At 38.3% G+C, this 22,513-nt stretch overlaps 2 protein-coding genes across 8 annotated transcripts in view, besides 5 other annotated features; both read right to left on the bottom strand.

Moving 5' to 3' along the window:
- Positions 1-5,320, bottom strand: part of HBP1 (HMG-box transcription factor 1) — a 33,520-nt gene extending 28,200 nt beyond the window's left edge. For 3 of the 7 annotated variants that reach the window (NM_001439012.1, NM_001244262.2, XM_047420190.1), the window contains exon 1: positions 5,296-5,320. Coding sequence is in view for 2 of the 7 variants with exons in the window: in NM_001244262.2 (NP_001231191.1) it covers positions 5,296-5,310 (15 nt within the window). In the remaining 5 variants the exon portion in view is untranslated. Of the gene's footprint in view, positions 1-731; positions 867-4,192; positions 4,400-5,137 lie in introns of those variants that run through there. The other 4 variants (NM_001439013.1, NM_012257.4, XM_024446713.2 and 1 more) reach the window with 3 other exon arrangements.
- Positions 4,621-4,840: a silencer, noted in NCBI's record as "silent region_18538". NCBI's record gives its function as "represses an Ori minimal core promoter by ATAC-STARR-seq in GM12878 lymphoblastoid cells {active_cell/tissue: GM12878}" and the evidence as "EXISTENCE:reporter gene assay evidence [ECO:0000049][PMID:35858748]".
- Positions 5,101-5,200: a silencer, noted in NCBI's record as "silent region_18537". NCBI's record gives its function as "represses an Ori minimal core promoter by ATAC-STARR-seq in GM12878 lymphoblastoid cells {active_cell/tissue: GM12878}" and the evidence as "EXISTENCE:reporter gene assay evidence [ECO:0000049][PMID:35858748]".
- Positions 5,219-5,792: a silencer, noted in NCBI's record as "fragment chr7:106808976-106809549 (GRCh37/hg19 assembly coordinates)". NCBI's record gives its function as "represses an EF-1alpha promoter that drives an FKBP-Casp9 reporter gene in an ReSE screen in HepG2 liver carcinoma cells {active_cell/tissue: HepG2}" and the evidence as "EXISTENCE:reporter gene assay evidence [ECO:0000049][PMID:32094911]".
- Positions 5,511-5,670: an enhancer, noted in NCBI's record as "active region_26491". NCBI's record gives its function as "activates an Ori minimal core promoter by ATAC-STARR-seq in GM12878 lymphoblastoid cells {active_cell/tissue: GM12878}" and the evidence as "EXISTENCE:reporter gene assay evidence [ECO:0000049][PMID:35858748]".
- The window catches only part of PRKAR2B (protein kinase cAMP-dependent type II regulatory subunit beta), a 117,107-nt gene continuing 107,105 nt past the window's right edge, over positions 12,512-22,513 (bottom strand). The window contains exons 8-11 of the mRNA NM_002736.3: positions 21,072-21,146; positions 17,274-17,339; positions 16,999-17,137; positions 12,512-14,874 (exon numbers count right to left, since the gene is read on the bottom strand). Coding sequence (NP_002727.2) covers positions 14,741-14,874; positions 16,999-17,137; positions 17,274-17,339; positions 21,072-21,146 — 414 coding nt within the window. The 3' untranslated portion in view covers positions 12,512-14,740. The remainder of the gene's footprint in view (positions 14,875-16,998; positions 17,138-17,273; positions 17,340-21,071; positions 21,147-22,513) is intronic.
- Positions 21,247-22,446: an enhancer, noted in NCBI's record as "CDK7 strongly-dependent group 2 enhancer chr7:106792322-106793521 (GRCh37/hg19 assembly coordinates)". NCBI's record gives its function as "activates an origin of replication core promoter dependent on BRD2, BRD4, P300/CBP, MED14 and CDK7 cofactors, with strong dependence on CDK7, by STARR-seq in HCT116 cells {active_cell/tissue: HCT116}" and the evidence as "EXISTENCE:reporter gene assay evidence [ECO:0000049][PMID:35650434]".

Genomic DNA, 22,513 nt, shown 5'->3' with positions numbered 1-22,513 from the left:
GGCTATCAGAAGTTTGGTCCTGAGAAAACTGAAGTTCTGCTACTGTAAAGCTACCATACAGTAAGAGAAGCTACACTTCAAGACAACAGACTTCAGTTTCACTCTTACTAGCTGTGTAACCGGGGACAGGTCACTCACTCAATCTCAGACTCACGGTCGGTCCCTCTACTTACCTCACAGGGCTATTCTGAGAATTCAATATATGAAAACAAAATTCAAAACTACATACAAATGGAAATTTTCTGTCTCTTCTGTCTATTCTCAACTATTCTGAAGAAAGAAAGCAAGGTCTCCAATACAATAAAGGAATACCAGGGAAGCCCTTACATTTCTTACTCCCCTACATATATTATACCAATTACATACTCATTTTGATAAACAAGCTCCTCTTTCAAATATCTCCTGGTAGAGCTAACCCTATTGTTCATTCATGCTTTTGTATACTGCTTTGGTATCAGATTCAACACAGCTTGCCTTGTATTTTAGTTAACTCTGCACATGTCATCTCTTCACGAGATCAGTGATTCTCAGTATCTATTTTCCAGAAGTTGTACTCTGAAATGTCATGTTCAGTGTTACAAATTTTACTTTCTTAGAATGCCCCATTGCTTTTGGTATGCAAACTTCCAGAAGCAAATATCCACAAAATCTTAAGACAGGAGAGAAAGAGAGAACTAGAAAAACCTAAGTCTCAATGAATGAAGAAGGAAACAGTTTTACAAAATGCTTACCTACACAGCACTTCCATGTACTTCATCTAATTTTATTTTAAACTCAGAACAACTCTGTGAATAAAGTATTATTATGGATGAGGAAAACAGGACTATGATGACTAAATGGGATCATTTTCTTTTTGAAGGCGAGAGCTGAGAGGGAAAAAAGACAAAAGGTATAAGCCAGCATGGGTTACTTCCTGCTTTCAAGTGCCTATTATTCCCTGAATCCTTACTTTTCCATCATCATCATGGAATCCACAGCAGGATCTTCTATATGCTCTCCCCTAATCCTGAAGGATTTCCATAACCAGTCCAGACTACACGCTCAAATTGTTTTCAAAGAGTAGGTGAAGAAAAGGTAATTTGCAATTAATTTCTATCTCTGAAACTGAGGTATTTTAAATGGATTACATAATTACATGCTAAAACAAGCCTCCATAACAAAGTATATTAAATGCAACTTTCTATACCAAAAGCATCTCTGAGGCTGTAATGCTGTTCTTTTAGAGTATTTTCAACAAAACTTCAAAAGATTTCACAGGTATTTGTCTACAACTCTAGTTTGCCACCGGGCTACAAGAAAAGACAAAACAACAACAAAAACCCTTAGTGGATTCGTTTTGGTCACTTACCACTTTCATGGCCCTGAACAATTAAATCTCTAGGCCTGTTTTCTTATTTGGACCTGTTTTTTTTATTTGTAAATAAGACTAGTGGCCAGGCCCAGTCACTCAGGCCTGCAATGCCAGCACTTTGGGAGACCAAGACAGGAAGATCGCTTGAGCCAGGAGTTCAAGACCAACCAGGGCAACATAGCAAGATCCCATCTCTAAAAAATTTTTAAAAATAAGTAAAAAAAAATGGGACTAGTACCTATCTACCTATCAGAATTGTTGTAGGTATAAAAGATATTACATCCCACAGACACTGCCCAATCCACATCTATACAAGTTCTTAGTAATTTCATGCTCATTCAACATGAAATACTATATTGATCAAGACAATAGAAAACCCATTAATAGCAGAAGCAGTCATCCACAAACTGTTTTAGGAGTACTGTCAATTCAAATAAGTATTTAAGATGAGTCATATAAGATAAGTCACATATTAAAACGACATCATCTAAAAATTCTTATGAAACTTGTTTTCCTAAACTTTGGTGCTTCATAATTTCTATTATCATTTTCTATGGAGAAACTAGAAACATAATTTTCTCCATAATGTGGTTCACTGAGTTTACAAAACTAAGATGAAACTAGAAAGTGAAATCAAAACTTCATTCTATAATTTATCAGTCGAGTAAGCACAAACAATATTTTGCTTTAAAGTGGTTAAATGGCTCCTCAAAAGTATAAGATAAACTCCTAAACATTTTTACATTATCTATAAAAACTTGTGGGAAAAGCTTTTTTTTAAAGCTATGATCAATAACTTTTAAAAACTCAACCACAATTATGGAGAAAATTATGTTTCTAGTTTCTCTATAGAAAATGATAGTAGAAATTATGAAGCACCAAAGTAAATGCTGATAAGTATATGAAAAATGTGAATGTTACTGATATCAGGCAATTAATAAGAATATTAGAGTATGCCATTTTTCCCTGAATTTTGTGATATGCAGGTATCTGGCAGCTTTAATTTTTTTTTAATTCATTGTGATTTATTTTTCCATTCTAAGTAAATACTCACTTTCATACTTAACAGACATAAAATTCCTGGCATTGACTCTTTTTTTTTTTTTTTTTTGGAGAGGAAGTCTCGTTCTGATGCCCAGGCTGGAGTACAGTGGCCTGATCTTGTCTCACTGCAATCTCTGCCTCCCGGGTTCAAGCGATTCCCTTGCCTCAGCCTCCCAAGCAGCTGGGACTACAGGTGTGCGCCACCATGCCCAGCTAACTGTTGTATTTTTAATAGACAATTTCACGACGTTGGCGAGGCTGGTCTTGAACCCCTGACCTCAGGTGATCCACCCGCCTCAGCCTCTCAAAGCGCTGGGACAGGCGTGAGACACCGTGCTGGGACAGTAGTAACTTCTAATGGATAATGTATGCGTGGGGTGGAAAGGGGAGTACCAGTATTTTTATTTCAAACACATATACAAAACACCAGCTTGCAATTCACCCTGAAGAACCCTCAGCACAGAGCAGTTTCATAAGTCCATGCCATCGTGCCATATGCCTTCTTCACTGGCCACTTCGATTAGTGAGGAAAGAATCCAAAGAAGTTAAAATATAGTGGGCCGGGCACGGTGGCTCACACCTGTAATCCCAGCACTTTGGGAGGCCGAGGCGGGCAGATCACGAGGTCAGGAGATTGAGACCATCCTGCTCAAAATGGTGAAACCCCGTTTCTATTAAAAATACAAAAAAATTAGTTGAGAGTGGTGGCGCTCACCTGTAGTCCCAGCTACTCAGGAGGCTGAGGCAAGAGAATCGCTTGAACCCAGAAGGTGGAGGTTGCAGTGAGCCGAGATCGCACCCCTGCACTCCAGCCTGGCGACAGAGCGAGACTCCCTCTCAAAAAAAAAAAAAAATATATATATATATATATATATATATATTTATACATGTATATGTTATATATTTTATATATATACATGTATATGTTATATATTTTATATATATACATGTATGTTATATATTTTATATATATACATGTATATGTTATATATTTTATACATATACATATGTATATAGTGAAGAAAACAACTCTTACAGTGACAGTATCATGTTTGACGTCTGAGAGGTATGCCCTGTGAAGCACACAGGATAGCGGAGACATGTAGGTGGGCAATCCTGGGAGAAGGTACCCTTTTAACTAGGGTATGTAGTTAGGAGTTTGAGAAGTTAAGAAAGAGGAAGGGTTTTCGAGACAGAAAAGATAAGTAGGTTTACAAAACTAAGATGAAACTAGAAAGTGAAATCAAAACTTCATTCTATAATTTATCAGTAGAGAAAGCACAAACAATATTTTGCTTTAAAGTGGTTAAACGGCTCCTCAAAAGTATAACATAACCCAAAAACTTTAGGGAGTGGATTTAATTCTCAATATAATTCAAATTTCCTTGAAATTTTGTCAACTACTGTCTACCTTGCAAGAACTGAGTTTAACCAAGGCAACTGAACAGATGACCGACTCTACCACACTCATTTGCAAGATAAAGGAAAATAGCAAAAAAAAACCAAAAGTACAAGACATACATTGCAGATTTAGATCACTGTTAAATGACCAGAAAAGTATTTCCAATGTTAAAATTATTCTAATTCTCAAAAAGTACCTTTAATTTCAAAACCACTATTAGGAGTGCTTACGGCTATTCAGAGGGAAGTATTAATAAAGCTAAAGCCTCCATCCGAGCTGTTAGTAGGACTCCATCGCTTCCCAGTATGTATAACTCCTTTTCTAAGCCTCCTCTCGTCCTGGCATCAGTGGCACCATGAGCCAAAAACAAAACAAACAGAAAACTTGAGTATTACCTCGCTGTCAGTGCTCCTTCTAAAAACGACTGTAGCTGAAAACTCCCTAAGAATGAACTCGAGTGTAGAGTGCACAGCGGAGAGTGAAACACCCTAGACAGCACGCAGCATTTAAAGCTACAAAAACCTGGCTGTCCACTTCGCCTGGTTTGTTTTGTTTTGTTTCAATCGGCCTGCGGTGGCAGCATAGGTTGAAAGGCGGAGACTGGAATCGCCTGCCAAGCCTCCTCTTTGGGTCACACAGAGCGGTGCCTCCCGGTTCACGCCAAGTCCATCCCCCACCCTCTTTCGCCATTCATCGCGTTCCCCTCCCTTCCCCCCATCATGTGACCGCAGCCCGGACTCCGGGCTTGTTTTTCCCCTCGGCTCAGCCCCAGCGCGCAGGCGCCTGGGAGCCCATTCATTCGAACTGCGTAACAATGAGCCCCGGGGCCCAGCGGCTCCGCGAGCTCCTCAGCTCAGCCAGAATCCCCCTCAGTCCAGAAGGAGGCGGCGCCTCACTGGGGTCCCCCACCTCCGGCCAGCCCCCCACCCCTGGCCAAGCTCCGACCCTCCGCCCACAAACGGGGAGTTGAAGTCAAACTTTCCTGGGCAGCCCCGGCGCTGCGTCGGCCCCTTCCCCCGCCCTGGCCCGCCCCATCTCCACACCCGGCCCGGCCACCCACCGCGCGACCTGGCCCGGAACTTCGCCCTCCCCCTGCCTCCTCCCGGCCCCCGCCCGAGACCCCCTAGCGCCGCCGCCCCGAAGCCCAGGTGAGCTCGCGGGAGACGCTGCTCCGGTGGGCTCGCCGCGGGCACCAATCGAACGGTTAACTGCCCCCACCCCAAGGGCAACCCTCCGAGAAGAAGGAACGAGGACCCGAGCCCTCCAGTCTGCCCAATCCCCCGCGCTCCTGCCCCTCCCTTCCCCACCCCCACCTCTTCCCTAACTGAAAGACAACAAACCTGCCGCGAAGTGCCGGCAGCCCAGGCGCGGGCCGCTCCGGCCACGACAACACCACCAGCAGCTCTCGTACCCCCTCTCCGACCGACGTCGGCCTCCCCCGCGCGGGTTACTGCTCCCGCGGCAGCTCTTACTCCTCAACCGAAACTTTCCTACTTACCAAACCCGTCGCCATTACCAAGTCTTTCAAGCTTCGTCTTCCCCCTCCCCTCAACCCCCTGGGGGTTGAGCCCCGCCCAGCTCTTTCGCCCTCTTATTGGACTGCAGAACTGCCATTCGGTTCTTCCCCTTTCCCATTGGGTGGTACCGTGGTCCGTCTCGGGGGGCGGGCATGTATTGACTTTTGTGTTGTGTTTACTGGAGAAGATGGCATGTCAATCACAAGAGTAAGTGCTTCGGATTGGACTATTGCCGAGAGTCCGGGGACCCAAGCCAAACTTTGTCCCCGAAATGGATTGTGGGTTCGTAGTCTCAAGCCTTGGTCCTTGGCTGTGGGAGACTGCTGGCCGGGGAAGAGCTGGACTACGTATCCCAGAGGCGCTCGCACAGCGCAGTCTTGATAGTAAACAAGAGTCATAGGGACACGTGTATCAGCTCGTTTGTTTTGGTGTCTGGGACAAAAGGGAGGGGGCGGAGGAAGGGAGTGTTTTAAAGCTTGGGCCTCTTCTTTTCCTCCGGGCCTCTGCTAACACTTAGAGCGGCCCAAGCCTCTTGCAGCACCCAATCCGGGCCATAAACAGCCAGAGTTGCTCGCTGCTCAAGAGTTTGGCAGGAGGCCAGGGTATTGTTTTAGTGCGAGGGGAAGGAGATGACTGCACCAGCGGAAGTACTGCAGGCTAGCGAGGGACTTGATCACCCACAAATCACGGCCCCAGGCACGAAGGGGTCGAAAGTGATGCTGGGGGCTGCACTGGCAGTGGGAAGAACTAGAAGTCCTTTCTCTTGTGCCTTGCCTCACCACTCCCAGGACAGCAACTTGAGATTGCCTTGTCAGCTCTGTTCAGTTCACCTAAGTTTGTTGAGCCGCCACCTAAGTGCCAGGAAGAGTGAGGCTGGGGGATGGACTGTGAGCAAGCGAGAAGCTGGAGTCTAGAGAATTTACAAAGCGGGGGCGGGGGCGGGCGATTACGAAATTGAGGCAAGTTAAAGCGGCATTTTCCATACTGATTAGTATGCTCGTTGGTTAACGTAATACAAAGGGTGTAATGTATGACGTAAACTGATTTAATTTGTGAATCATTATCAGTAAGTTTCTCTGGTGAGTTTTATTAACCCTCTTTTCCTTCTAGACGTTTTCTCATTGATGAAAGAAACTGTCTTTCCACTTCATTTCCACTAGGAGTTCCTCAAGTTACGAATTCTCTGACTCACCAGAGACGCTTCCCTGCTTTATAGTTAACTTCTCTTTAAACATGGCTGTCCATTCACAGTCGGCTGCATCTAGTCAATAATTGGTGTCTTTACCATTCACATTACAAAGGCATGATTAAGCTTTTTCCCCCCTTTGAACCTTTAGTGTTTAATCATTTAAATTGTGCTTTAGATTTTCTAACTTTAGATCACTAAATATATGCTTAGAATTAAGATGAGGAAAACCTACATTAGTAAGAAATCTGTAAAAGCAAACCTTTGGACAGAGCCAGAAATCACACAGCTAGTTATTTCTTTAAAACCTCCTGCATTTCTTGGATTTTTAAATATACCTGAAAGCCGCGTAACAAATCAAGAAATCCAAAATAAGCCCCCACATGTTGAAATCGAGTTTAAAATTCTTGAGAATTCCCCATTTGAATCCGTGAAGTGAAATTATAAAGTAGTCCTCCCGTGTAATCAAATACTTACTTTCTATGTTCACAAATAGTAATAAAGCATTCTATTTTTTATTAAAATAATTCAGAGGAGAGCCAACAGAATGCTTAATTTTTTCCCTGAGGAAAAAGGACAGGATTTGAATTTATCATCTTTCAGAAATTATTAGTGACTCAAAGAAATGAATGTCTCTGCTACTTTGTGTATGCTTTTTTTTTTTTTTTTTTTTTTTACAATGGAGGGTCATCGTGTACTAGAATAGAAAATATAAACTCTACTCCAACATGTAATTTCTTGACAAAAAAGAAAAATCTGTGAAGTTCACCTAATTATTTAAAATTGTTTTGAGATATTTATGTCTAACTCCTCCTAGAAAACTAAAAAACTTTTCTCTTAAAAAAAAAAAAAAAAAAGAGCTGGCAAGAGATTGACATACTGCTTTACCCCTCTCCAGTACACAAACTGTGAGATCTGCTTTCAGCTAAACCTTGTTTTTAAAAGTTAAACTATTTTAAAGTTTTTACCAAATGCCTTAGTGGTGATTTTTTTTATCGGGGGACACCGGAAATGGGGAAAAAAAATTCAACTTTAGATCCAGATATTGTACAATATGTTACAAATAATAATTTATCCTTTAATAGCTCCATAAAGCCTTTTCCATTCATTCAGAAACGTTTAGTTCCATTTTTTGACCACTGTGCCAATTATTGAGAATAAAAAGATAGAAAACATTTTTTGCACACTTTTTCTCATTTTTATCCAAGTCTTTAATATGAGTTAAATTTAGATAGTTTAGTCACAACTGATTAAATACTAGTATTAGAATTCGCTACACCTTTAAGTGGACACTTAGTCCAATCTTCTGACTTCCGTGGGGGGCTAAATGACCACATTAGTAGCTTATGTGTATTTACCAGAGACATCATCATTAATTGAGTGACCAATAAAACTAGCCAACTTATAAGCCAGAACAAAGATCAAAGTACAAAACTAGTAAGATCTCCTTGGAAATTTTTACATGTGCTAATTATACTCTCAGACTAAAACAGATATAACTACAGTTTTTAACTATCTTTCAGATGTTTCCATGATAAAATTGAAGTTAAAAAATCAGTTACTTTAAATAACACCTCTTCTTGATTGGTACAGTCACCATATCTATACACACATATACACACATAAAATGTATGCAAAAAAATGTCAAGAAATTGTCAAATCAAAATGTCTTTCCAGCGGTTTGTAAAGTTACCTCTGTTATCTTAAATATCAAGTTCTAATTTGTTAGAGATAGTAAAAAACGAACAGAAGAAAAACAAAAAACCGGTAAATCCTATTTAGGAGTGAAATAATGTGTTTCCCTGATTCCACCATATTTGACACACCAATGACTGCTTTGCTTAACTACAGAGAAGTTCAAGTACATGCATTGCCTGATATTGAAAATAATCACTTTGAATTGTCAAAAGGTAAACAAATGAAATCACATGAACAAGTACTAAATGGAGAAATTGAACACATGTATGGTCTAAGTACTTCTCAAAGTTTTCAGACAGCATCTTGAATGTTTAAACTCCAACAAATATCCTTCCATATACCTTACTATCCTTTCAAATGAGTTAATTTTCTAATTAGTTCAAAGTACTCAGGTAATTCAGTCAAGTTGTAATGAAATCCACAGGAGCTAATGATGGCCATTGTAGAAGTGAGTCATCTGTCTCCTGTTCCTGTAGTTCTTGATGCAACTGAAGTTTAGATTTTGCTCCGATGACCAGAAAGCAAGACCTTTCTTCAGTGGCTGATAAGCTAATGTCTTAACACTATAACCACATTAGGAAGAAAAATCAACGTAAAAGGGAAGAATCAAAATGATTGTGTCTCCAGCTTGGGTAATTGCAGTATGTTGGGGAAGGGTGGTTATGTTGATGTTATTGACTGAGGGAATGCTGGAGAGGATAGCAGATTTGGGGACTGGGAGGAAGGGAAAGGATAGGTTCAACCTCGGGTGATAAGCATGCTGTGCAGGAAGAAATTTGAGTCCAGAGGTCCTTGGGCAGCTGAATATATTCATCTGGCATTTAGGAAGTCCAAGTCTGGAGAAATAAACCTGGGTATCCTCAGGACATAGAGAGGAGTACTCATTTTTTTATCCCAATTTTTCCCAAAAAGTTTTTGTCAAGTCTAATTTGGTATAAATGAAAATGTATTTAGAGAAGGCAACAATTCTATTTCATCTCACTCTCGATGTTTAAAATCAAGCTCAAATGACTATTCTCATGTCCTGCAAGTTTTCTAGAGATCATTACTGTTATCTGAACTATTTAACACAAACTCTCACATAGTATTTTCTACTCCCGTCTATTTGGTATCCTAGGACCTTCTCTATGTTTAGTTGCTAGCAAAAAGTACCTCATTTTAAGTGCAATTAAGTCAGATAAAGAGCAATTAAAATTGTAGGAATAGGGCGGGGCACGGTGGCTCACGCCTGTAATCCCAGAACTTTGGGAGGCTGAGGTGGGCAGATCACAAGGTCAAGAGATCAAAACCATCCTGGCCGAAATGGTGAAACCCCATCTCTACTAAAAATACAAAAATTAGCTGGGTGTGGTGGCACGCACCTGTATTCCCAGCTACTCGGGAGGCTGAGGCAGGAGAAACGTTTGAACCCAGGAGGCAGAGGTTTCAGTGAACCGAGATCACACCATTGCACTCCAGCCTGGGTGACAGAGCCAGACTCTGTCTCAAAAAAAAAAAAGTAGGAATAGTACACACATCGCTTTTATCACACTGTGCTAAACTGAATATTGTTGCTTACATTTGTCCCCCCTCCACATTTACATTCTCTCCTTATCAGTCACCATCTCATGCGCTTTTTTTTGTCTGGTCCATAATAAGCTATTAAAAAAATACCTACCTGTGGAACAAATGAATAAAAAGGGGAGACAAGCAGCATGAATTTTCTCATATACAGCGTAGTGTAGCACTATATATAGGATGCTGGTCTGAATATTTGACTTTGTTAAATAACTTGCATGCACTTTAACTGTCACTTCCTCTATGTAATCATTGTTATTATTTGAGAACGTCTCATCTTTCAGCTATGTTTATATGATAAGCACTATTATTCATTTTTGTTTCCCTCACAGTGTCAGTCACTCAAAGGCAAACAAAGTATTGGGTTGCTGCAAAAGTAATTGTGATTTTTACCATTTTTACCATTTAAAAAATGGCAAAAACCACAATTACTCTTGCACCAACCTAATTAACACTTCAACTCCTTCAAGTTATACAGAATATAAGTAATAAAAATGTTGAGGATATTTAATTGTTCAGCTTTAAAGTGCAATTATGAGAAAATAGATTTACCAAAGATGTCTTTATAGTGTGCACCTTTCTTAAAATATTGCTTGGCTTTTAAAAAATGTCATTTGTATATACCTCAAGAATATAGTCATTATGTAAAGGAAGTACACTTGTATTAAATGTCAGCCCTTGGCCTAAGAGAGGTGATGAAGTTTCAGGGATGCAGAGTTTATTCTCTTGTTCCTCAGCAAGATCTAGGAAGGTTTCTGATTAGAACCAAGATGGAAAACCAGTCATCAATAGCAACTTTATCTAAGATTTTAACTGGTCATATTTCCTGTTCATAAACTCATTCGAAGGTCTACTTTGTAACCTTTCTTTTCAAGTTAAATAGAAAATATTTAAGGTTTCATGTCTGGGTTGTTACAGTCAAAAGCTACAGAAAACTTTCCCTTGTGCCTGAAAAAAAGGTCATTTTCTGTTTTCCAGTGACAGTAAAAAATGCATTTATATGCTATAATGAATCAGTTATAATTGGTGCTGATAAAACATGATTTAATATATATACATTTTGTAGTAGCATTTTTTATATTTGGAAAAATGATGAGACTCAGGCTATGGTTACATCAAAATCTGTGAAAACCACCTCCTTGGTAGGTAGCATTCATTTTTGTGGTGTAGACATTACTTCCCTATCATGTATCACCACATTTTCCTATATATGTGATACATACTTCTTCAGGATTTTCTAGGCAATTTTAGATTTATAAATTTGAAGCATAAAAAGGTAAAGAAAGACCCAGATCTGTTGGTCACATCAAAAGTTTTCCTCTCAAAATAATCTTATTCTCTGCATTGGAAACTATATACCAATTTATATGCCAGGCTCATTAACATTATTTGGGAAAATATATGAGGCCATGAATTGGATGAAGAATCAATATATCTCAATTTTCCATAAGTTCTGCCATTGACTCACAAAGTAAATGACTTTAGTGAAGTCACTGATTGTCCTTAGGTATACAAATTGAACTGATTTAAGGTCTCATAGTTATTGACACAAGTCTTCTGCAAATAACTGGTATACTTTACTGCTTATATTTCCATAATTCATTACACTTTTAAAGGGTTTTTATACCTGTGAAGATGAACAACTCTGTAGTCTATTCAACCAGTTTTGCTGCCTTTAAAAGTATTCTAGAACAGGTAAGGTTGTCTCAACTCATTCCAATTCTTCATTTTTGTCAAAATTCTTTCTGATACTTGGCATCAGGCTATACCAAACACTAAATTTTAGAAGCCAGCATTCCTTAAAAACTATATTTCTCTTAGGTAGTAAATTTTTTTTTTTTTAAGAATCCCGTCCAGCAATTTAACAAAGCTCTGCCTTAATCCAGATGTATGACTCACCTCTCTAGGCCTACACAGTATTAATTTTCCTTAAGAATGGCAAAGGTCATCTCATCCTTTATAACGTTTTTTGAGAGGAAAAATTCTATCAGTATCTTTAAAGATGCTTTGGGAAGGGAAAGAACACAGCGTTTTTAAATTTTACATTTCAATAAAATCCGAAGTCTCTTGCTTCATGCCGTTTCACTTGAAGAATTTTTAAGCTTGTTTGTTTTATGGACGGAGTCTCGCTCTGTCACCAGGCTGGAGTGCAGTGGCACAATCTCGGCTCACTCCAACTTCTGCCTCCCAGGTTCAAGCGATTCTCCTGCGTCAGCCTCCTGAGTAGCTGGGACTACAGGCACATGCCACCACGCCCAGCTAATTTTTGTATTTTTAATAGAGACGGGGTTTCACTATATTGGCCAGGATGGTCTCGATCTCTTGACCTCGTGATCCTCCTGCCTCAGCCTCCCAAAGTCCTGGGATTACAGGCATGAGCCATGGTGCCGGCCTTTTAAAGCATTTTAAATGGCATTTAGCCAGAGTTTATAATACTAATCCTAATGGTAACACATATACATTCACCTAAGTTGTGTCACAGGTAACGTGTATGTTAAAATATCTGCACTAAGCCCTAGTACATATGGATATGTAGAAAACAATACACACACACATACATACACACACACACACACACACACACACACCTTTATTTAAAATAAGGGAAAGCACCGTCACTCTTGGGGAAAAAGTCCTCACCCCTTTCCTTAGCCACGCATGATACACGAGAGGCTCTGTCCTTGAATGAATGGTCAACAGAGAATTCTCACATAGTAAGGAGTGTTGATTAATAATTAAATAATGACATCCACAAGTCAAACTTGAGCTGTTTTAATCAGATAATTTTACACATAAATTCCTAGTTAGCCAGATTGATTTGGTTATTCTAAATGGCCAAATAAATCTGCAACACACCACAATTATTTCTCCCACACATGATGAATAGCTAATAATTTTAAAAACCTATTGCCATACAGAACCATACTTTCTTACTATGTTATGCCCTGGGGGTTCGCTTCCACATGCCACATTGCTATCATGCTTTTCAATGAATTATGCATTATGCACGTCAGAAAACTTTAAAGAAACAAGCAAAAAAGTATGAAAAACAATAATTCATGTATTTTATTATAAAAGTGTGCTTTATTGTAAGGAAAATTTAAATATAACCAACAATACTGAAAATAATGTACGTGGCATTTATAGCCTTGGTCAAAGTTCTTTATTAAACAGGCGTTTGCTGTTCCATGAATAGTTAACAATTAGTTTATGCAACAAAATAGATAACTTGAAAAAGTGAGTAAGAATACAGAATGATGAACCAGGAATCTGGAGTTCTTTTGTGTTTTTTCTTGTTTAACAGACATGGCTTTTAAAATAAAATCTGAAATATAAAACAAGTCATCTTCATGTAGAGAGCTCTCTTTTCCTACAAGAAGGTTTTGCAAAAATGTTAAACAGTGTTCTAAAAATGTGGCTGAAGTTATACTTTACATACTTTAACTTCTTATATATACATTATCCAATTAACATTCTAACCACATTTTCATATACAAGTGGGACCATAAACATTCTCTAGTAAGACTACACTAGCACAGAGTAATTTTACCCATGTATATATATTCATTTGAAACCTGTTTCCCAAAATGAAATCACTCATTTAAAAGCAAACAACTGGTTAGAATTAATGTCTCTAGACACTGGGTCATGGGGCCTAGAAATCATGTAAGAGTATATTGCTTTGGTTGAATATAATTAAATTCATCTTATGTGGCAGCATACTGAGCATATCAATGAACAATGAAAATCTAGTACATCTGAGTTCTTTCTGCACTAATTTCAACTATGAGTCTACATTAAAGCAATGGCAAGGCCTAATGGTATATATGGTAAGGTCAGAAATTCATTTTGTCTTTATATAGGGTTATGCTCATAAAAATTTGTTTCTATTCCTCTAGAGGATGTTTTTAAGAATTAAAAAAACCAAACAAACCCATATTGGCTGCTGATCAATGAGATTGTGGGTTGGCAACCATCCTAAGAAAGAACGGAAACCCAAGGGAACAGATGTCTACATAGGACTGTATTATGCAGGCCTAGTGAAGAACAAAGAAATAAACTGTGGGCATGCTGATAAGGATCCCACATTATTTTTGGGATAGGAGAGATTTTTTAGGTGTAAAATCTTAAAGAATACAAAAAATGTCGGATCTTAAGTTTAAATCACTTTTTAAAAAAACAAAACTTTGTGACATTAAATGTCAAGATCAAATTTTTAAAGACATAGAATACAGAGAATTGCAAAATAAAAAAAAGCAGATATATGCTTGATGAGGGAAAAATGCATTAATGATCTCTCATCTAAAACACTGTTTTCCTTATTATCATAATGACTAAATTGCCTGTCCATAAAACCACTGGAATATGTATGTTACTGACATTATGCCAACAAAGTCAAAATGTACTTTATTGCAAAAATATAAAAAGTTTTAAAACTGCATATGATATTTTATACCATTTCACCAATAGGCCAAGGCCAGCACATAACTTATCAAGCTAGAAAACTTTAAAACAAAAATGATTAAAATTTTACTGTGTTTAATGAGTTATAAAAAAAAGTGATGCCATGCTGTGTAGCATGTTTAATTGCCAAGTGCCCTCTTACATGGGGATAGTCACTAATATGATTATCAGTCTGAATAAGTAAAACACATATAGCCTATGATAACATCCTTTAATTATCTTCTTAAACACAGATACTTTCTATATATTACAATCATTTTAATAAACCTTTCAGTCATAATTTTGTGGAGTACAAAGTCATTTTATCAGTATGTTGATTTTTTTATGAACTACTCTTTAGAAAGTGATGTTAAAGCCTATTGACTATTAAATCACTACTGTTTATTGATACGTTGTAAATGTAAAAAAAGGAAAAAACCTGAAATCACAGAAAATGCTTGGCATCTACACAAACACATTCTCAGTGGACTAACCACTACTGTGTAATTTTGTCACTACAGGTCTTGCTCCATACTTTTGCTTCATGCAGTGGGTTCAACAATATCCATGTTCGTTCCAAACAGGGCAACTAACTGTTCTTCATAGGTAGCGATGTTCCTTTTCATAATTTCCATGCAAGGTCCCAGAAGCCTTTCAAATGCTTGCACATCCATTGCTGAGAAAAGAGAAGATTTTTTTTTAAATAACATTCTTTGCAAATCTGCAGAATTTCTAAGTCATTTACAATACCGACTCCATATATATCAATAGTGCAATGATATTTTAGGTAAATACTATAAAATACAAGAAAAAGCATAATGATAAAAATGTTCCACTTGAAAAAGGAAGCAGCCAGGGCCACGCTCTTGGACCACACTCTGCAGTCCCTCGGCAATATGATGAGCAATGCTAAGTTGGTGGGAGGTTCCTGGTCCAAGCTGAGAAAAGAATGAGGGACTATCATGGAAAGACCTTAGAATTTTAAAAAATAAATGTGCTGTCTCCACCTTAGCAATGTGAACTCCTCAAGGGTGGCACAAGAGTGTTTTCTATCCTGTGTTCCCTTCTCAGGGTTTAAAATGCCATGTTGTGAAGGCCAAGTGTTAACCTTTTGTAAGTTTTGCTGCCATACTATGTCTATGCAATCCAAAAATGGCAGCTGACATAATGCTTTTGTTTACTTCTATAAGTACATGCTAGAAATCACTTTGCTTGCCTGTCTCCTGGATTTTAAAACTGGATTTATAATATATAAATAGAAAATATGATCATACTCTATACATAAAAGTACAAATTAAAATAGATCTTCTTTGCCTTTTACACTAAAGATAAAAAGATAAAAAAGGCAATGTTTACAAGAATAGGGTGAATGGGCATTATGGCACTGCTAGTAGTGTACAAATACAAGTAATCTGGCAATATGTGTCAAAAGTTAATTTTTTAAAAACCCACTCCTGAAAACCATTTCTAAGGAAAACTCCTATAATACAGAAAAGTCTTCTATGCACAAAAAATTGCTCCCCACAAAAAAGTTGGAGCCAAAACCTTCGAAGTATTTACCACTAAGGAATGATTAATTTATCGTGTATATATTTACCTAAAAGAATTTTAAAATTTGGTGTAATAAAATAAGAACATTCCTAAGCGATAATGAACTTTAAAAGTTGTTTGGAAAACTGTTTAACAACTGGAAGCCCACACAAATAAAAAGGACAAGAAGGAATTATAATAGCAGAAATCACTGAGTGGCGGTGTTATGTTTTTTCTACATTTTCTGTATTTCTCAGGTTTTCTTTGATGTGAGTATAATAATCTATTATTGAAAAAAAATTAACAGACTTTCACTCACTCACCTTTACTCTTTCTAATAGACTTTCACTCACTCACCTTTACTGTAATAGACTTTCACTCACTCACCTTTACTATTTCTAATAGACTTTCACTCACTCACCTTTACTCTTTCTAATAGCCCTACTTAGGGAAATTACCTGCCAGTTTCTAATCGTCTTCTCTTCCATCCAAATTTAACACTTGATTAATATTATACTTATTTAAACCCTTTTAAAGAATGACTTCTCTAAGAAGTTAATTCTAAGGATCCTTGCAAATCTTAAAAACATTAAGTTTATGCTATTGAATTATGGATGAAAAGCACAGAGAGGGTAATAACTGTGAGATCAATTTTCTTAAAATACCCTCCATATTGCCACCTTCTAAACTGTATTTTCTTATCAAAGTAAGTGATTTCTCAGATATATAATCTCAGATATATACAGATGCCTGCACCTGAAGATGACATTTCTGCCAAGCTACTCTGGTAAAATAGTAATAACAACTGAACAGCAAAGAACATTTGACTGTGCTTTGACAAACCTGAACCTTTGTGTCCCAATACTGTAATGAGTAAGGATTCTCACAACATCTCAGCATTCCCCGCAGATCTTAATAACGGACTTTATAAAAATAGTACTTTAGCCTTCTCTTTTGAGGAACATAGCACATGTTGCTTATTTGAGAGATTCCATATAAAACGTGGTACTTGGAACTCTTATTTTAATGACTAATATGGGATGTTATTTCATATATACACAAGAAGAGCAAAATGTATCTGGATGTAAAAATTTCGAAGAAAAAATGGCTTCCACAAATTGATTTTATAAGGCAATGAGTCCTAATCTTGTTACCTTTTGTGGGGACCACAAAACCTGTGAACCCAATAAAATGATTCACTCAACATGAATACATAAAATGCAGACATAAGTTCAACCAGCAGAAGCACGCCCACTGTTGCAATCCCTACCTAAACATTTGACAGTCCCAATGGCGTGGGCAGAAGCTGCTCGAGGTTTGTTAGTTACCAGGGCAAGCTCTCCAAAGTACTGTCCCCGCGAGCATCGAGCGATTTCTACTGCACCATTCTCTTCCACTTCTGATTTACCCTGACAAGGCAATTAAAAAGATGAGCTTTTCCTCAGCTTATGAAAAATAAAATTAACCTCAGTCTAAACATCAAAAAGTAGATCTGTTGTGTTCCTTGCTAACAGTATGTGGGTTCTGAGGACTTAGAATGCTTACCTTTCTTTTCATAGTAATTTTCACTTCTCCAGATTCTACAATGAAAAAAGAATCAGCCGAATCTCCCTATTGGAATCAATAACAAAAACAGACGGTGAAAATGCAAATTAATTGACAACAATCTTGTTACCTTTCATATCCCTAAAATTGATCCAACCCCAAAGTACACATATTCACCTGAAAAGTGAAATCCTAAGGGAACAAGCTGTCTCGGTTTCTAAATCAAGAGGTTTTTTTTTTTTTTGAGACGGAGTCTCACTCTGTTGCCCAGACTGGAATGCAGTGGCGCGATCTCGGCTCACTACAAGCTCCACCTCCCGGGTTCACACCATTCTCCTGCCTCAGCCTCCTGGGTGGCTGGGACTACAGGCGTCTGCCACCACGCCCGGCTAATTTATTTGTATTTTTAGTAGAGACGGGGTTTCAACGTGTTAGCCAGGATGGTCTTGATCTCCTGACCTCGAGATCTGCCTGCGTCGGCCTCCCAAAGTGCTGGGATTACAGGCGTGAGCCACCGAGCCCGGCCCTAAATGAAGAGGTTTTGATGGACAATTATGTAGTAATGATTTCATTTGTAAAATTATTTGAAATAATACTTTCTTTTTCCCCCCCAAGATGGAGTCTCGCTCTGTCACCCAGGCTGGAGTGCAGTGGTGCAATCTCAGCTCACTGCAGCCTCCACCTCCTGGATTCAGGCGACTCTCCCACCTCACCCTCCCAAGTAGCTGGGATTACAGGCATGTGCTACCACACCCAGCTAATTTTTTTTTCCTTTTTTTAAAATTTTACTTTAAATCAGGGATACATGTGGAGAACATGCAGGTTTGTTACACAGGTATACATGTGCCATGGAGGTTTGCTATACCTATCAACCTGTCTGGTTTTAAGCCCCGCATGCATTAGGTATCTGTCCTAATACTCTCCCTACCTTCACTCCCCACCCCCTGACAGGCCCCGGTGTGTGATGTTCCCCTCCCTGTGTCCATGTGTTCTTATTGTTCAACTCCCACTTATGAGTGAGAACATTCGGTGTTTAGTTTTCTACTCCTGTGTTAGTCTGCTGAGAATGATGGCTTCCAGCTTCATCCATGTCCTGCAAAGGACATTATCTCATTCTTTTTTATGGCTGCATAGTACTCCATGGTATATATGTACCACGTTTTCTTTATCCAGTCTATCACTGATGGGCATTTGGGTTGGTTCCATGTCTTTGTTATTGTAAATAGTGCTGCAATAAACATATGTGTGCATGTGTCTTTATAGCAGAATGATTTATATTCCTTTGGGTATATACCCAGTAATGGGTTTTCTGGGTCAAATGGTATTTCTGCCATTAAAAAGTGGGCAAAGGATATGAACGGACACTTCTCAAAAGAATCAAAAGAAGATATTTATGCAGCCAAAAAAAAAATGAAAAAAAGATCATTACTGATCATTAGAGAAATGCAAATCAAAACCATAATGAGAAACCATCTCACGCCAGTCAGAATGGCAATTATTAAAAAGTCAAGCAACGATAGATGCTGGTGAGGTTGTGGAGAAATAGGAATGCTTTTGCACTGTTGGTGGGAATGTAGATTGGTTCAACCATTTTGGAGGACAGTGTAGCAATTCCTCAGGGATCTAGAACCCGTATTTATTTATTTTTTTGTATTTTTATTAGAGATGGGGTTTCACCATGTTGGCCAGGCTGGTCTCGAACTCCTGACCTTGAAGTGATCTACCTGCCTCAGCCTCCCAAAGTGCTGGGATTACAGGCGTGAGCCACTGTGCCTGGCCTTGAAATAATATATTCTCTACCACTGTATTTCTGCTAAAAAACCAAGAAAATGTGGCAACACTGGGGTAAGAATTTCACCCAAATTTCAGCCTAGATAACAGCATACATAGTTGGAAATGGCAACACTGCTGTGTATGCCAGCAGCGTCCCCTTAGTTGGCAGAAACATGTCTGCGGATCCTGTGCTCCTGAGGAAGTGCCGAGACATGCACCCTGCGTCATCCTAACATCGCAAGCATTGGTGTGGTGACCCAAGATAAGCCATCAACTTGCAAAGAGCAGAAAGCATCCAGATGGAGCCGGAAGCAGCAGATGTGGGCCTTGACATTTTCACTACAGTCAACTGAGGACCAAACTCTGACATGCTAGCCTACTGACATTCCATTTCAAGGCTTTGGAAGGACTTCTAAAAGAAAAGTGTTGCTCTACCCATATACCTGTTCTTTCTTGCTTTTGTTTCTTAATGAACTCTGCCTTGATCTCCAATGATGCAGTCTGAATTAAACAATACAATATGGAAGATAATAATACAGACACTGACTTCTCTAAGCCTCTCAAAGTGATTCTGGAGAAACTTAAAATATTTCAAAACTCCTTAATACAAATTCAAGAAGTTTAGCATCTGATTCTATCACAAAAATAAATGTTGAATTTAGATTTTTAGAATATAGGGTGTATATGTATATTTATAAATGCTTAAAAGACAACAAATATGTAAGAATATCCTTAATAAACCCTAAGTATAGCATATCTCCTTTCCCTTATTCTTGTATCAGGTTTTCATAAAAGCTTCATATTAAGTTTTCGAGTGTTCTGAATCATAATAGGTCTATTAACTGCTGAGTAATTTTTAACTATTTTTAAAGCACGCTCTAAGTGTATGTAAAACTGGTGAAAACTGAATATGGTCTGTGAATTATGCCAATGTCATTTTCCTAGTTTTGATATTGTTATTAACAGTGATGCAAAACGCATTAGGAGAAACTGGGTGAAGAGTACACGGGACCTCTCAAAACTATTTTTGCAACTTCCTGTGAATCTATAATTATTTCAAAATAAAACCTTAAAAAATCATTTAAAACATGCTCTTTGCTTTGTTATTTACTAGTTTATACAGTAGAACTTTAACCTTGCTTGACTCCATTTCTTCCCAATCCCTGACTGCTCTAACACACACATACACACACACACACTCAGCAATGGGAGAGGGGTGTTGATCGAAAGATTTACTTATGTATTTGTCTTCTAAAACAATTCTTTTTCTCAGTCTCAAAGACCTTGAATCTTGTTTCCCATATAAAGGAAAAGACTGCATTTCAGATAAAGAGCACAAAACAGTATAAGGCTGTGATACAAAAATTACAGAATCTATTAAAAATCCATTTTAATCATTTGCTTAGTGCTTCAAAAATATAACTAGGAAACAAGGTACTATCATCTGCATGCTTTACCTGTGAACTTCAACAGTCTTCACAAATTCTACTTTTGGTAGCCCTACTCCAACCCAGGTATCTAATATTATTGGTTCCAGCTGGGATCTTAGAAAAGTATTAGGGATTAAATAACATGTTGACCCACATGTAGTCTTGGAAGCCAAAACAGTATATGTTGCAGTGTGTTCCTTTCTTGGTGAATTTTATCAAGGAGCAGCCTCAGGAATTTTCATCATGAACTGATCATGCAAAACTCTATAGAATTTTCCAGTGTACTTTCTGGGTCCTCATTAATGTCATGGAACATTCACCTGTTTTTTCCTCTTATAAATGACTACAATGATGCAGAAAACCATTTGATGGTTTAATACACCTTCATTAGGAGTTAATTACATAAACAAAAATATTCAATAGAGTAATGACTATAAATGAAACCATTTTTAACAGGTCATTTGGTAGAAGTAATATTTATTTAACCCATCACTGCATACTAATTTTAGAAATATGAAAAGTTTATCAAGATCTACCACTACAGGAACCTTTTGGAATATAACCCTAAACTGAATTACATTTCAAAATATCATACCTGAGCAATGATTTGTTCTCCATCGTTGTATACTTTGGTGCCTATCACATCTACTACTTTCAGGCGTTCAGAAAACTACAAAGAAAGAAAAACAATATTAAATAGAAACAAATTAACTGGGTAAGCTTATCTAGTTCGGGAGTAAAAAACTGGTAGCCTATAGGCCAAATAAATCGAGCAGTGTGTAGGTTGTATATGTGTTTGTTGTATTAATTACCAGCCAGCATTTTAAAATAATTTTTCATAAAAATTCAATCTCCAGCTTCTCTTGAAAAATCAGCATCACATAGCCCATATTTCCACATGGCAACAATAAAACTATGGTGGGATAGCAGCTGTTTCTTTAATGAAATACATGTTCTCCAATCTGCCAAAGTCCCTTCCTGGCTTGGTTTTCTTCTCTGTGTTACCTGCCTAGCTCTGAAGGCACCAGATTTCCAATCCCTGACCTACTCTTATTTAAAGAAATATGCTGCTGGAAAAGATCAGCTGTCTACCACGCACTGTGTGATGTGGACAAAATTTTTACCAGATGTAAGCTGATAATCCAACAGAGACATTCAAAAGGAGAAGCACTGCTGTTTTGACACTTGCCATTTTATAAGATGTTGTGGGTACATATATATGCCTGTCTTTAATTACTCTCAAAATACTTCAAATATGACAGTGAAATAGAAAAGCATTTAATTTAATGATGAAGTATGGAAAATGAAGCTGAATTTTTAGGGTAACAACAACCTACTCTCTCTCATAAGTCTCTACCTTCAAAGATAAAAACCTAAGAGCTGGTCTCATTGAGAAGACCTCTGGGCTGAGAAATGAAGGAGCCCTGCAGCTGTGTAGGAAGACATTCCAGACAGACGGCAAGTACAAAGACCCCGAAGTGGGTGTGGGACAGGTGTGTTTGAGGAGTGGCAAGAAGCTGATGTGTCAACAGAGAGATGATGAGTGTGGAGCAGTAGGAAATGAGGTTGGGGAAAATGGGTGGGGGAATGGGACAGTCTGTGCAGAGCCTTAGAGGCCATGTGAGGAGGAGCTTAAATAGAGCAGTGCCACAACCAGGGATTTTAAAAGATGACTCTGCAATTAGCCAGGCAAGAGGTGATGGTGGTTCATATGAGTCAGTGCTAACTCGAAGGTTTTTGGCCTGAGACACTGGAAGGATATGTTGCCATCTGCGGGGAAAGAGAAAAGGAGTAGATTTGGGACATACTAGGTTTGAGATGTCTATTAGACATCTGAGAGGAAATCTTACATTTGCAGTTGGATAAGTAAGTCTGACCTTCAAGGGAGGGGCCTTGCCCAGTGATATCAATTTTAAGAAGCATCAATATATGGACAGTACAGGTGGTCCCTGACTTACAGTGGCTTGATTAATGATTTTTCAACCTTACAGTTGTTTGAAAGCGATAGAAACTATACTTCTAATTTTGAGTTTCGAT

The sequence above is a fragment of the Homo sapiens genome, chromosome 7 (genome assembly GCF_000001405.40).
Source record: "Homo sapiens chromosome 7, GRCh38.p14 Primary Assembly".
NCBI classification, from domain to species: domain Eukaryota; kingdom Metazoa; phylum Chordata; class Mammalia; order Primates; family Hominidae; genus Homo; species Homo sapiens.
The sequence above is the reverse complement of the archived record's forward strand: the minus strand, read 5'-3'. Positions and strand labels throughout refer to the sequence as shown.